This window comes from Homo sapiens, chromosome 1 (genome assembly GCF_000001405.40).
Source record: "Homo sapiens chromosome 1, GRCh38.p14 Primary Assembly".
Classification (NCBI taxonomy): Eukaryota; Metazoa; Chordata; class Mammalia; order Primates; family Hominidae; genus Homo; species Homo sapiens.
In genome coordinates, this window is record NC_000001.11 from 239,877,803 (window position 1) to 239,891,030 (window position 13,228).

A 13,228-nucleotide genomic window follows, 5' to 3' on the forward strand; every position below is an offset into this window, starting at 1 on the left:
GACAATTTTTCTGTGATGGGGAGGAGAGGAGGGGGTGGTTTCTGGATGATTCAAGTGCATTACATTTATTGTGCACTTTATTTCTTTCTTTTTTTTTTTTTTTAATGAGACAGAGTCTCGCTCTATCGCCCAGGCTGGAGTGCAGTGGTGCGATCTCAGCTCACTGCAAGCTCTGCCTCCCAGGTTCATGCCATTCTCCTGCCTCAGCCTCCCGAGTAGCTGGGACTACAGGTGCGTGCCACCACACCCGGCTAATTTTTTGTATTTTTAGTAGAGACAGGGTTTCACCATGTTAGCCAGGATGGTCTCGATCTCCTGACCTTGTAATCCACCCGCTTCGGCCTCCCAAAGTGTTTATTTCTATTATTATTACATTATAATATATAATGAAATAATTATACAATTCACCATAATGTAGAAGCAGTGGGAGCCCTGGGCTTATTTTCCTGCCACTAGATGGTCCCATCTGGGGGTGATGCAAGACAGTGACAGATCATTAGGCATTAGATTCTTATAAGGAGCACACAAGCTAGATCCTTCGCAAATGCAGTTCACAATAGGGTTTGTGCTCCTATGAAAATCCAATGCTGCTGCTGATCTGACAAGAGGCAGAGCTCAGGCAGTCATGAGAGTAATGGGGAGCAGCTGTAAATACCGATGAGGCTTCGCTTGCTGGCCCATACTCATCTCCTAGTGTGTGGCCCAGTTCCTAACAGGCCACAGACTGGTACATGTCTGTGGCCTGCATCTTGGAGATCCCGGCTATATACAGTAATGACTATCTTCTCAGTATTTTAAATTTTTTTTTTTTAATGAAATCTCTCTTCTTTCTCCCTCACCATATATACCATATATATGCCCTATATATCCATGCACTGACTCTGGGCCAGGTAGCTTGTCGGACATGAGGGCAAAGGGGATGATTAAGACCAGGCTTCTGCCCTCAGATGATTACAGGTGTTAAGGGAGGTGAGAATCAGATAGTTAAAATACAGGTCAGTTTACTCATTGCCACGTGAGGGTACATGCTGGTCACTCTGTAACTGCCTAGATGGGACACCCCTAATTCAGCCTGAGGAGGAAGGGCTCCAGCAGCATCTCGCTGGGGTTGACCAGGTGGCCATGGAGGGTAAGACAGGACTTTACAGGTCTACAGTGGCAAGTGCAGAGGTACAACAGAGAGAATGAATCCAAACTCCTTTACGTCAGGGGTTTTCAAATTTAAGTTTGCCTCAGGATTGCCTGGAGAACTGGTCTAAGCACTGATTGCTGGGTATCACCCCCAGAATTTCCAAGTCAGCAGGTCTAGGATGGGGCCCAAGAATGTGCATTTCCATTTTTTTCTTAAGACAGGGTCTCACTGTGTTGCCCAGGCTGGAGTGCAATGGCCTGATCATAGTTCACTGCAGCCTCAAACTCCTGGGCTCAAACAGTCCTCTCACCCCAGTTTCCCAAAGTGCTGGGATTACGGGTGTGAGCCAACGCACCCAGCTTGTGCATTTCTGTGAGGCTCCCAGGAGATTCTGCTGCTGCTGGCCCACCCTGCGAAGCACCACCTGAAACAGCACAGCCAAAGCAGCCTCTGCGGATCATTAGAACGGCCTGTGCTTTCCAGGTTTTATCAGTCTGGTATTTATATCCATGTGTTAGCTCAGAAGCCAACTTTGCCTTGCCTGTGTTTATTAAAACATCCATAAATCTGTCAGGTGTCTTTCTTTCAATCTGAAAATTCCCCAGGCAAGGAAGCCATGAATCATCAAATTGAACATCAGGCTCCCGGGTGAACTGGCTGGACCAGACACAGGGCACTGTTTTCCCCACAGGCGTGAGCAGCCACAGCCTGGCAGCGCCCAGTGTGCAGAATCCGGCAGCAATGAAAGCAAGAGAGGAGAGAGAAATGCCCTCTTCCTTCTTGTCTCTCCAGTCCCCTTAGAGAAGTACTTGCTGATCCAGAACAAAGCCAGTCAACCACATGGTCCCTCCACGGTCACACACAGCTGGTTGCTCTGCTGCAATAGAAGTCTCTCCCTCCCCAGCTACAATGACACTGGACATAGTTAAGGTTAAATCTCTTTCTGAGGACCATGAAACTATAATGATAATTTCAAACATCTGTTTGTTGCTATTAATGTATATGATATTCCAGTGAGTTTGTTACCCAGCCAGGCTTGTTCTGCCTGTCACACAGTATGCCAATCACTGTGATGAGGTTTGCAGCAAAGAAAGGGTTTATTCACGAGGCAGCAAAGCAAGAAGACAGGAGAAGAGATCCCAAACCCAACTCTCCAAAGACAGGGTTGAGGGACATTCATGGGATAAAAGAACAAGGCAATCCGAGGCATAGAGAAGGGGGTAAGGAAAGTGTGGGAACTGGTGATCTGAGCAAGTGTAGTCAAGCCTTGTGGCTCTTCATAGGACTCATGTTTACAAAATGGAATTATTAGCATGATCTGATGATGGGGTTTTGGCCCTGTGATACCCAAAGGTCATCCATGGAGCAGTCACACAGTCCCAGTTGGAGGGTCGCTGGTCTCAGCTGGCTTGACCTGGATGAGAGCTGACCCCAAGTTCCTGAAAATACAACTTAAGCGGCCATTACCATGATAACCTATAATCAGAGATATTATCTATATAGAAGCTTGTGAAGTTTAGTTATATATTATTTGGCCATGCAACTTTAGCTATGTGGAGGTTTGTTTGGTTTTGTTTTAGAGACAGAGTCTCACTATGTTGCCCAGGCTGGCATGCAGCAGCATGAAGATAATTCACTGAGGCCGCTAACTCCTGGGCCAAAGTCATCCTCCTCAGCCTCCTGAGTAGCTCGGACTATAGGTGCACACCACCATGCCTAGCTAATTATTTTTATTTTTATTGTAGAGACAGGGGTCTTGCTTTGTTGCTCAGGCTGGTCTCAAACTCCTGGCCTACAAGTGATCCTCCCACCTCAGCCTCTCAAAGTGCTGCAATTATAGCTGTGAGCCACCGTGCCCAGCCAGCCATGTAGGTTTTAAAATCAACTAGAAGCAAGCAACTAAAAGCAAGCGAGGCCATTTACGTTTGGCAGGCCTAATCAGGTTAGCCTTCGGTTTCAAGTTTAGAAGAAGAAACAGCAGCAATCTTGGTTTTCAGCTGAGGAGGCTGGGGGCAAGATAGTAATAAAGACAGCAGGCAAGTGCTAAGTAAAAGAATACAACCCCTGGGCCGGGCGCGGTGGCTCACGCCTGTCATCCCAGCACTTTGGGAGACCGAGGTGGGCGGATCACGAGGTCAGGAGATCGAGACCATCCTGGCTAACACGGTGAAACCCCGTCTCTACAAAAAATACAAAAAATTAGCCGGGCGTGGTGGTGGGCGCCTGTAGTCCCAGCTTCTCGGGAGGCTGAGGCAGGAGAATGGCGTGAACCCGGGAGGCGGAGCTTGCAGTGAGCCGAGATCCCGCCCCTGCACTCCAGCCTGGGCGACAGAGTGAGACTCCGTCTCAAAAAAAAAAAAAAAAAAAAAAAAGAATACAATCCCTGAACCAGAAAGGAGTTAGTGCCTGTTGCGTGAGCTGCCACCAGCTGGCCTCACAAGAGAAAGTGGGTGAGGGGAAAAGAAAGGGAAAGGAAAAAAAAATGAAATAAATTGGGAAAGAAGAAAACAAAATGGCGAGTTGATTGGGGCTCCATCCACACATGTACCTGGGTTATCATTCAGGTAATCATTGATTACCTCACCACTTCTCTCAATCAGATTTTCATCAAAGCTTCCTATGTCATAAATCAATCGGAAAAACATCCGAATCTCCAGATTTTACCTTAATTGTACCAGGGTTCTTTCCCAAGCCAGGGACTTGGAACCCACACTCAGCCATCTGCTTCCTATGCCCTTTGAATAACTATTTAAAGTAAGTTCTTTGAGCTTGAGTTTCACCAAAGGAAGAAAACCTTGTCAGCAAAGCCCCCAGCCCCTTTAATTTCTACCCTTTTGTGGTTCTTTCCCTGCAAACAGGGACAAACAGGACCATTTTGATAAGTCCCAGATCAACATAAGCACTGAGGTATTTAGATATATAGAGTTCTACAGATTTACAACTGGAGGACAACTCATTACCTTCAATGTATTCTTTTTTGTTTTTTTTGAGATGGAGTCTCGCTCTTGTCGCCCAGGCTGGAGTGCAGTGGTGCCATCTTGGCTCACTGCAACCTCCTCCTCCCGGGTTCAAGCAATTCTCCTGCCTCAGCCTCCTGAGTAGCTGGGATTACAGGCACCCGCCACCATGCCCCGCTAATTTTTGTATTTTTTTAGTAGAGATGGGGTTTCGCCTTGTTGGCCAGGCTGGTCTCGAACTCCTGAACTCAGGTGGTCTGCCTGCCTCAGCCTCCCAAAGTGCTGGGATTACAGGTGTGAGCCACCGCCCCAGCCCAATGTACTCATTTTAACCGTGAGGAAAACTGAGGCCTAAAGAGAACAACCACTTGCCCTAAATCATATGCTAATTCGTAGTGGTGCCTCTCTGGCGTGCAGGTGATTGTTAGTTTTATTTGCTTTTATTTTGTTTTGATTTAAGAGGTTTCCTAGTGATACTAATAATAATAGCAATATTCATTTAACTCATATTGAGTCCTTCCCATGTACTAGACACTGTTCAAAATATATGTATTTTAATGTATTCTGAATACTTTTAACGTCTTTTAATCCCCGCACAATCCTATGAGATAGGTGCTGTTATCAACCTCCGTTTTACCACTTAGGTACAGAGAGATAACAGAGAGATGCAGGAAGTTGCCTAAGGTTTTTGACATCACTCTTCATGGAGATTTAGGAAAAGATGTGAATGGCACAATTGCTAACTGGCATGGATGCATTAAGAAGGGAAATCTAATCTATACTAAAATTGAAGGAAAAACTAATCTATACTAAATTATTATAATCTGCAATGGACATATCTTTAGAATATCATATGTGTGTGCTACTACAAGGCCACGTGACCTAGTGTTTTGTCACAGGCCCTGAGCTGCTAGAAAGCAGAGTCTCTGCAGCCCCTAAGGCAGGGCACACTGGCTGCCCAGCACGCAGTGGGTGTTCAATAAACCTATGAAGAAGTGAAATTGACATTGAGGGTGATTTATACTCCTGGAGACTCATCAGCCCAGGGGCGGCTCTTCGCAGAGAAAGGCATCTCTTCAAGATGATTTGAGGATCCTCTTGCTCCAGTAGGTTAAGAAATACATATCTAAGTGTTTTCCTCTGCATGGGATATTTCTTTATAGTTCAGGAGAATTTTCTGCCTATTTCCACCCCCTCTTGTCTAGATTCTATTGAAACACACACAACAACATTTAATCACTCACTCAGTGGGATAAATGACCCTGACCCTTGACTCATCATCGTAAACGGTAAAACAACCTGATTTATCAAGAAACAACATCTCTCAGCCGTGATGTTCCTCCATCACTTATTTATTCTTTAGTGTTCAGGTTAAATGCCGCCTCATTAGAGGCATCTCTTCCCCACATTATCTAAGATAGGGCCTCCCAGTTACACACCCTTCATCTCCAACTATGCCCCTCATTCATTTCATTTGCAGCACTTCAGTTAGGTCCATCCATGCTTTTTGAAGCTTTTTCTAGTGTAATGCACTCTTCCATTTATTTTGTTCATCCTAAAAGCTAGCACAGAGGCTGGCATGTTTATATTACTTATTTAGCAAACACTGCTTGCTCTCTATGTGCTGAGCATTCTAACTGCTTACTAAATTTATTTGATCCTCCCTACAACCCCACACTTAGGTACTCTTATTACTCTGTGTTTTATAGATGAGGAAACTGAGGCAGAGAAATTGAGCCTTAGTTTGAGCCTTGGGGCACAAAAGTAGTATGTGTTTTTGAACCCACTAAGTCTAGTTCTTGGTTTGTGTTCCACCATTACTTTGAACAAATACACACACAGTCAATTCTTATTTGTTGAACATCTGAATAAATAAACGAAATATAAACATAAGTAAAGGAACTAAGAACAAAATGTCTCCTGTCTACTGCAGCACTTCTTACATCTATGTCTATATTTATCCCCTACTCTAATCTCTTGATCTTCTTTTGAAGTATTTTTGAAAGAGCATCTCTCCTCTTAAAATTTTTCTAATGCAAATAAAAAACACACTGACCTAGAGTTCCAAAGGGAATATATTTATCGTATGAAAAGAGAACCCCAACAAACACCCACACACATCAGCTGTAGTTTGATGATAACAGTTCTGATCTCAAGAGAATAGCCAAACTTGCATGTTTTATGTTATGCTGACTATAGTGGGTTGAATGATGGTCACCCAAAAAGATACGACCACATTCTAATCTCAGAACCTGTGAATGTTACCTAATTTGGAAAAAGAGTCTTTGCAGATGTAATTAAGTTAAGGAGCTTGAGAGGAAGAGATCATCCTGGATTATTCATGTGGGCCCGAAATCCAATAACAGGTGTCCTCATACAAGACATACAGAGAAGAGAGAAGACAAGTAGGCAGTGTAACCATGGAGGCAGAGATTGAATTGATGTAGTTATAAGTCAAGGAATGCCCAGAGCCACTAGAAACTGGAAGGGACAAGGAAAGGATTCTCTCCTAGAGCCTCTGGAGGGAGTGTGGCCCTGGAAACACCTTGATTTTGGACTTCTGGCCAGGAGAACTGTGAGAGAATCCATTTCTATTGTTTTAAACCATTCAGATTGTGGTCATTCATTATGGAAAATACAGGAAATGAATACACTGATGCTTGAAGATTGCACTAACTACTTCTTAAAAGTCTCCTTAACGAAGCTTTTTTGAGACTGATTTGGTTCACCTCTGCTGTATAAACATGGGTGGGAAAGGGTAGGAAAAATGGCTCGCCACAGACATCTTGAAATTTCTTTTTATCTTTTAGTTATTCTCACTGAACTGTGCATGCCTATACAGGCAGGTAAACTCAGCAGTTGTATGGTGCTTACTAGTAGATGTTAAATATTACTCTTCATTTAAAAAAGTCGTAAAGTTTTTAAAATATCCCTCAAAACCTTAGGAGACTGAATTCATAAGAAAGATAAACAGCGAATTCTTGTTAAGTGGCTGGTAAAAAAACAAGCATAATATGGTTCACTCCCACCAATGGATGCCTTACAGATGGACGACATGAGTCATGCCGCTGGCCTTGACTCCCTTCTCACCAGCAAAGACCTTACAACAATCTGACTGCCTGTTTAGAATCTGGGACTGCTAAGAATTGGAGTTGGGAAGGTGGCCAGGAGGAATGCTTGGAAAGACTTTCTAGAGCTCATTGGAGAAATTTTAACAAGCAGGTGCCTTAAAAGGAATAAAAAATAATTGATATCCTTGACCTGAACTACCTCCAAACTACCCAGTCTATGATTGTCTCTTGATTCTGCAAGCAGATGATATGGAAAACATGTGATAGTCCTCTAGGACTGTCATTCTCAAACTTTAGCGTGCATCTGAATCACCTGGAAGGAAGGCCTGTTAAAACATAGATTTCTGGGCCTCACCCTCTGAGTTTTAGTGACAGGAGGTCCGGAGTACGGTCCAAAAATGGGCAGGTCTAACAAGTAACCAGTTGCTGCTGCTTGATGCTGGGGTTCCAGGGACCACACTTGGATGACAACTGGTCTGGAAAATTGATGAGTCAAGTATATAGTGATCTAATTAAGTGAGTCGGCTTTTTGACAGATATTTGGGCTCCTTCTTGTACCGAGAGCAATATCACAACATGTTTCTGTGCTAAAGCCCTCAGTATATTTTTTGCCTGTAGGTAAGTTTATTGGGTAATAACTTTGTTGCCAAACAATGACTTTCTGCAAGTGTACTTCAGCGACGCATTCATTGTGTTGTGATCACAGGCACACCTGCTCAGTGCTTCCCATATACAGCGACCAAGCCATTAATCCTCCCTAAATTCAACACCTGCGCTGACCTTCCCCTTCAAGGTCCCATCCTTAAAGGAACCTTCAAGTCTCCACTAGGTCATTCTAATAAGCGGAAGGTGACACTAAACTGAATAGGTAATGATCCCAGGGCACTGGGTGAAAATATTTATCCTAGGTCATTCTCCTTGTCTGATGTGTCACTTGGGAATTAACCTTTCTCTGATGCCTCACTGGCTTGTTGAGGGCAAGGGTAATGAAAATACGCTGGGAGCTATTTCTAAGTGTTGGTGTAGCTATGTCTTTAGTCTAAATGATCAACCACATTCTGTTAAAACATTTAATACCACATAAGCTGCTCTCCTAATTTCTTATAAATGTGCTTTTAACTTCCAGCCAGTGAAAGGCACATGGTGGTGATATTTTTGAGAAAGTAGAGAAGAAAAGAATGAATCCGGATGGTTGTTGAGACAGAAACTGAGCGTCGAACCTCATTTTCTCTCGTACCCAAACCTTGATGAAACAACAGAGGAAAGTATTGGGCTGCAATTGTAGGCGCACAAAAGCAAACCTTGAGTCATGGATGACCGACCAAGGAAGAGTCCCCTTGGGAGGAGGAGGTGCCAAAGACCAGTGATACTGCTTTGGGTTATGTGCACTGAGGGTTTCCAACCCTGACGGATATGGATTCTAATTTAAAATATCACAGGGAAGAAAAAAATAGACGTTCCCATGGCAACATTTTCTCAGGGCCAGCTCTTCTGTCTTATTATCATATCTTATTTAAATATTTCCTGGAATCAGTTTAAACTTAATCCCTCTGTGTGTCTTCTATTTTCAGTGGCCATGGAGAGCGTAACATCTGGTCAGAGGTTTTCCTTAAATAAATCATATAATTGTAGGCAAGTCCATCGATTTCCATATGTTTGCTTGTGCTTACAATAGCTGCAAATCTAATATCATGTAAAAATTTCATTAACATTCATTTCCAGATCTCTAATTAAGAATTTTAAGTTAGCTAAATCTAACATTCCTTCAGGAACTGTGGTAGACACCTGCCTGCAGCTGGATATGGTACCATTTGTCACAACGTATGCTGTGTTCCAGCCCGGTTCCAAAGAGCATTACCGGGTTTCTCTGTGAACCACGTTTTGCCAGATACTTGGAGAACAACCCTCCATAAATGTTCCTTTGATATGTGATTTTATCAAAGCGACCTTTTCTTTGTTATTCTTTATCATTCTTACAAAAATTAATGTTTCTGTCCTCCACCACCCTCCCATGATGTTTATTTGTCCTGATTTGTCTCTTTGTCTTCCTTAAACAACTGCTTGTGTGACTCAGCATTCATTCATGTTCCTCGTGTTTCCAGCTGGGCTCCTTTACTTTATAGGGTGTGCGCTGATACCAGCTTGCCAGCAGAGAGAATCCACTTTCTTCTTCTTTTCTCCTTTTTTGAATGTGATAATTTCATGGTGTGTCATGGGAACTCATGAGTGCTCAAAAAGCTTTTTTTTTTGGCGGGGGTATACAGAGTCTCACTCTGTCACTCAGGCTGGAGTGCAGTGGGGCAAGCTCAGCTCACTGCAACCTCCACCTCCTGGGTTCAAGCGATTCTCCTGCCTCACCCTCCTGAGTAGGTGGGATTATAGGCACCCGCCACCATGCATGGATAATTTTTGTATTTCTAGTAGAGACGGGGTTTCACCATGTTGGCCAGGCTGGTTTCAAACTCCTAACCTCAAGTGATTTCCCCCAGCCTGACCTAGCCACCCCCACCTCAGCCTCCCAAAGTGCTGGGATTACAGGCGTGAGCCATGGTGCCAGGCCTTCAGACAGCTTTGAAAGCTAATTAAACCTTCAGAAACTTGATTTGTTGGAATAAGTTACACCTGGGCAAGTTGAATTTCCTTTTTCATAGCATCAGAACTTCCAGCATTTTATTCGCATCTGTTGAGATGTTTTTGAAGAGCATTTCATTACTTCTAAGTATATGAATATGCCTATCTTTAGTTAGTCATTCAGTATACAAGTTTTTTAAAGTGTCGGTTTCTCAGCTATACCCAGATCATCTATATTTTTATTGAAATCAGAAAATGTATTCTGAAGCTAATAAAGCTGAAACTTCAAGGGACCCCCGAGGGATAGTGGAGCAATGGTGTTTTATATTCATAATTTTGTATTTATTTTGTTAAAGGAAACACAGCAAAATGTATAAGCTTCAGTTTCCACAAAGCTTGTATCTGTCCCTGATTTGTAATATATTGAAATACAAATCTTATAAAAGGCCTTTACTTTCATAGCCTTGTTGCATAGTTGAGTTGCTTGTTTAAGTCGTGGTCTTGATGGTTATTGTGGTGTTTATCTCTGGAGATAAATGCATTCTGACACCAACAGTCATATATCAGTAAGAATGGCAATGAATTTGGGACGCCAAGGCAGGAGGATTGCTTGAGCCCAGGAGTTCAAGACCACCCTGAGTAACATGGCAAAACCCCATCTCTACAAAAAAAGAATGCAAAAAAGTAGCCAGGCATGGTGGTGCACACCTGTAGATCCAGCTACCCGGGAGGCTGAGGTAGGAGAGTCACCTGAGCCTGAGGAGGTTGAGGCTGCAGTGAGCCATGATTGCACCACTGCATTCCACACTCCAGCCTGAGCGAGAGACTCTGTCTCAAAAAAAAAAGGAAAAAAGAAAAAAGAAGAAGGGCAACATAGCAAGACCCTGTCACTCAAAAAACATTTTTATGGTTAGCCAGGCATGGTGGTACACACCTGTAGTCCTAGCTACTCAGGAGGCTGAGGCAGGAGGATTGCTTGGGCCCAGCCCAGGAGGTTGAGGTTGCAGTGAGCCATGATCGCACTACTGCACTCCAACCTGGGCCAGAGAGTGAGACCCTGTCTCAAAAAAAAAAAAAAAAAGTGGCAATGAAAAATAGACTGAATTAGGTGGGATCATGTAGCATTGCATCAATTCTGATGCAATTGCCCGATGCCTTCATGGGGAGAAACCAAGTAATATGTTAATCAACCTCCCTGAACAATTAAGTTTCATCAGTAGTGTCCCAAACCCAGGTTTGCTAATTGGCCAGTGTTAAGGGAAGGAATGCAGGGATCTTAACGCTACTTCTTCTATCATGTAAAACCCACTCAAAGGACTCAGTCCACCTCTGTTTTTGGCTCTTACCCATGGTTTATGCAGACTGAGTAACCAAGCTAAGCCAGCAACGGAGGACAACCAAGTACGTTGTCATCTCCATAGTGGGCTGGTAATTATACTCCAGTCCATCTGAAGCAGCCTCATTGTCTGGGGTGATAACCAAGGTTCACTGTCTCATGGCCAGGGAAGTCAAGGACGCAGACACACAAAGAGTGAAGTAAAGAGTGGAAGTTTAACAGGCGTAAGAAACAGAATAGCTCTCTGCTGGAGAGAGGGGTCCTGGAGGAATGGATCACCGGATCCACAGTGGAATGCAGGGGGGTTTATAGATGCCTGGTGAGGAGGTGTTGTCTGATTTACATAGAGCACGGAAGATTGGTTGGATCAGGTGTACCATTTGCTTAGGGCACGAAAAACTGGCTAGGACTAGGTGCACTATTTGCATAGGGGTCAATTTCTGGTAGCCCCCCCTCTAATCTTTTATTATGCAAGTAGGTTTTCTGCCTGACCTGTGCCATGTTGTCCATCCCTCTGCTGTACACATGATAACACAAACAGGGAAGATGGAGCCTCCGTGTTGGACATGCCTGGCCCCTAGGTAGCCCTTTTCTATTGGCACAGCTGCCGGCGTTCCCCTGTACAAGCTTCCAGCTTGCTTATCTATGTTTGCAGCTCGATTTTTCAGGCTGCTTTTTATTAGAAAAAAAATGATTTCTTGGGCCGCTTTTTGTTGAAAGGGAAGCTCTGCCAAGGACTCTTTTACACTATCTGCCTAAATAATTTCTTTCTACCTCCTGTATCACATTCACTTTATCAGTGGTTCAGGAGAGATGATGTTTCAGCCAGTCAGTCCTGGGCTGCCACACCTGGGCTGGGATGGGCTGAGGCTGTGCTTATGAGCTCAATCAGAAATTTAACCAATTTTAAATGACAGTCTTCCCAGAGAGCATCAGGCATAATGATGGTGGTGAGAGAGAAAGATAATGCTTGGCTCAAGGAGTATAGTGTACATTTCAAAAGGGCCTTTAGTCTTGGCAGTTTCTGGTATATCTGTCACAGAGTAAAGAGGAATCAAATCTGTGTTGAATGTAGAACTGGAAATGTATGAACATAACAATAATCACATGGTTAATGCCAGTCACAAGAGGACCCCACAGTAGTGTAAGTTAAACAAATGGAGAGTCAGGCATGGTGGCTCACGCCTGTAATCCCAGCACTTTGGGAGGCCAAGGAGAGGTCGGGAGTTTGAGACCAGCCTGACCAACATGGAGAAACCCCGTCTCTACCAAAAGTATAAGATTAGCCAGGCCTGGTGGGGCATGCCTGTAATTTCAGCTACTCGGGAGGCTGAGGCAGGAGAATCGCTTGAACCTGGGAGGCCGAGGTTGCGGTGAGGCTGCAGGAGGTGAGGTTGCGGAGAGGAGGCAGAGGTTGTGGTGAGCCGAAATCATGCCATTGCACTCCAGCCTGGGCAACAAGAGTGAGACTCTATCTCAAAAAAAAAAAAAGAAAAATGGAGAGTGTGTTTTAGTTTTAGAGTTTGGCATACACAGTCCATTTCCTAGTACTGCTACTTAACTAGTCAAATGTTCCTCAAGCAAGTTTCCTCTTAATCCCTCTGAGCATCAGTGTCCTCATACATACAATATTGAGAATAATGTCTGAATTACTGAATTATTATAAGGATTTAATCTAATGAATATATATGCCATATATTGAGGGACCCACAGTAAGTGCTCAAAATATGGTGGGCAGTACCAATTATTATAGGGTCACTTACACTTTGGGTCATATTGTGCATCCTGAAATATCACAATTCAGCAACATTCATAGCATGTTGTATATGCTATGTACAACATGGTGCAGTGCAACTTCAAATATTAACACAATAAGACATGTTGAATCTTCCACTAGCATCATAAAGATTTTTAAATCATTTGAATCTGGGAGTTGGCAATTGCAAAAAAGAATTCCTTTGGAGAAGCTTGGCCATTCCTTTGCAACATAGTAATTCTATAAAGTGTTTGATGCATGTTATCATCAGTAAGATCCAACTGATAATATTTACCACAGATAGGGACTTCATTACATCTCAGCCACTGAATTATGTACCCTTCATATAAGATCCCAGCAAAGGGAAAGACAAGCCTTACAGGATGAAGTCATCTGCACTGGTGA

At 43.6% G+C, this 13,228-nt stretch overlaps 1 protein-coding gene across 33 annotated transcripts in view; it reads left to right on the plus strand.

Moving 5' to 3' along the window:
• Window positions 1-13,228, plus strand: part of CHRM3 (cholinergic receptor muscarinic 3) — a 528,883-nt gene that overhangs the window by 491,235 nt on the left and 24,420 nt on the right. Inside the window, exon 9 of one of the 33 annotated variants that reach the window (NR_164748.1) lies at window positions 8,287-8,796. The exons of the other annotated variants lie outside the window; for them this stretch is intronic. The gene's annotated coding sequence lies outside the window, so the exon portion shown is untranslated. Of the gene's footprint in view, window positions 1-8,286; window positions 8,797-13,228 lie in introns of those variants that run through there. 33 annotated transcript variants of the gene reach the window in all.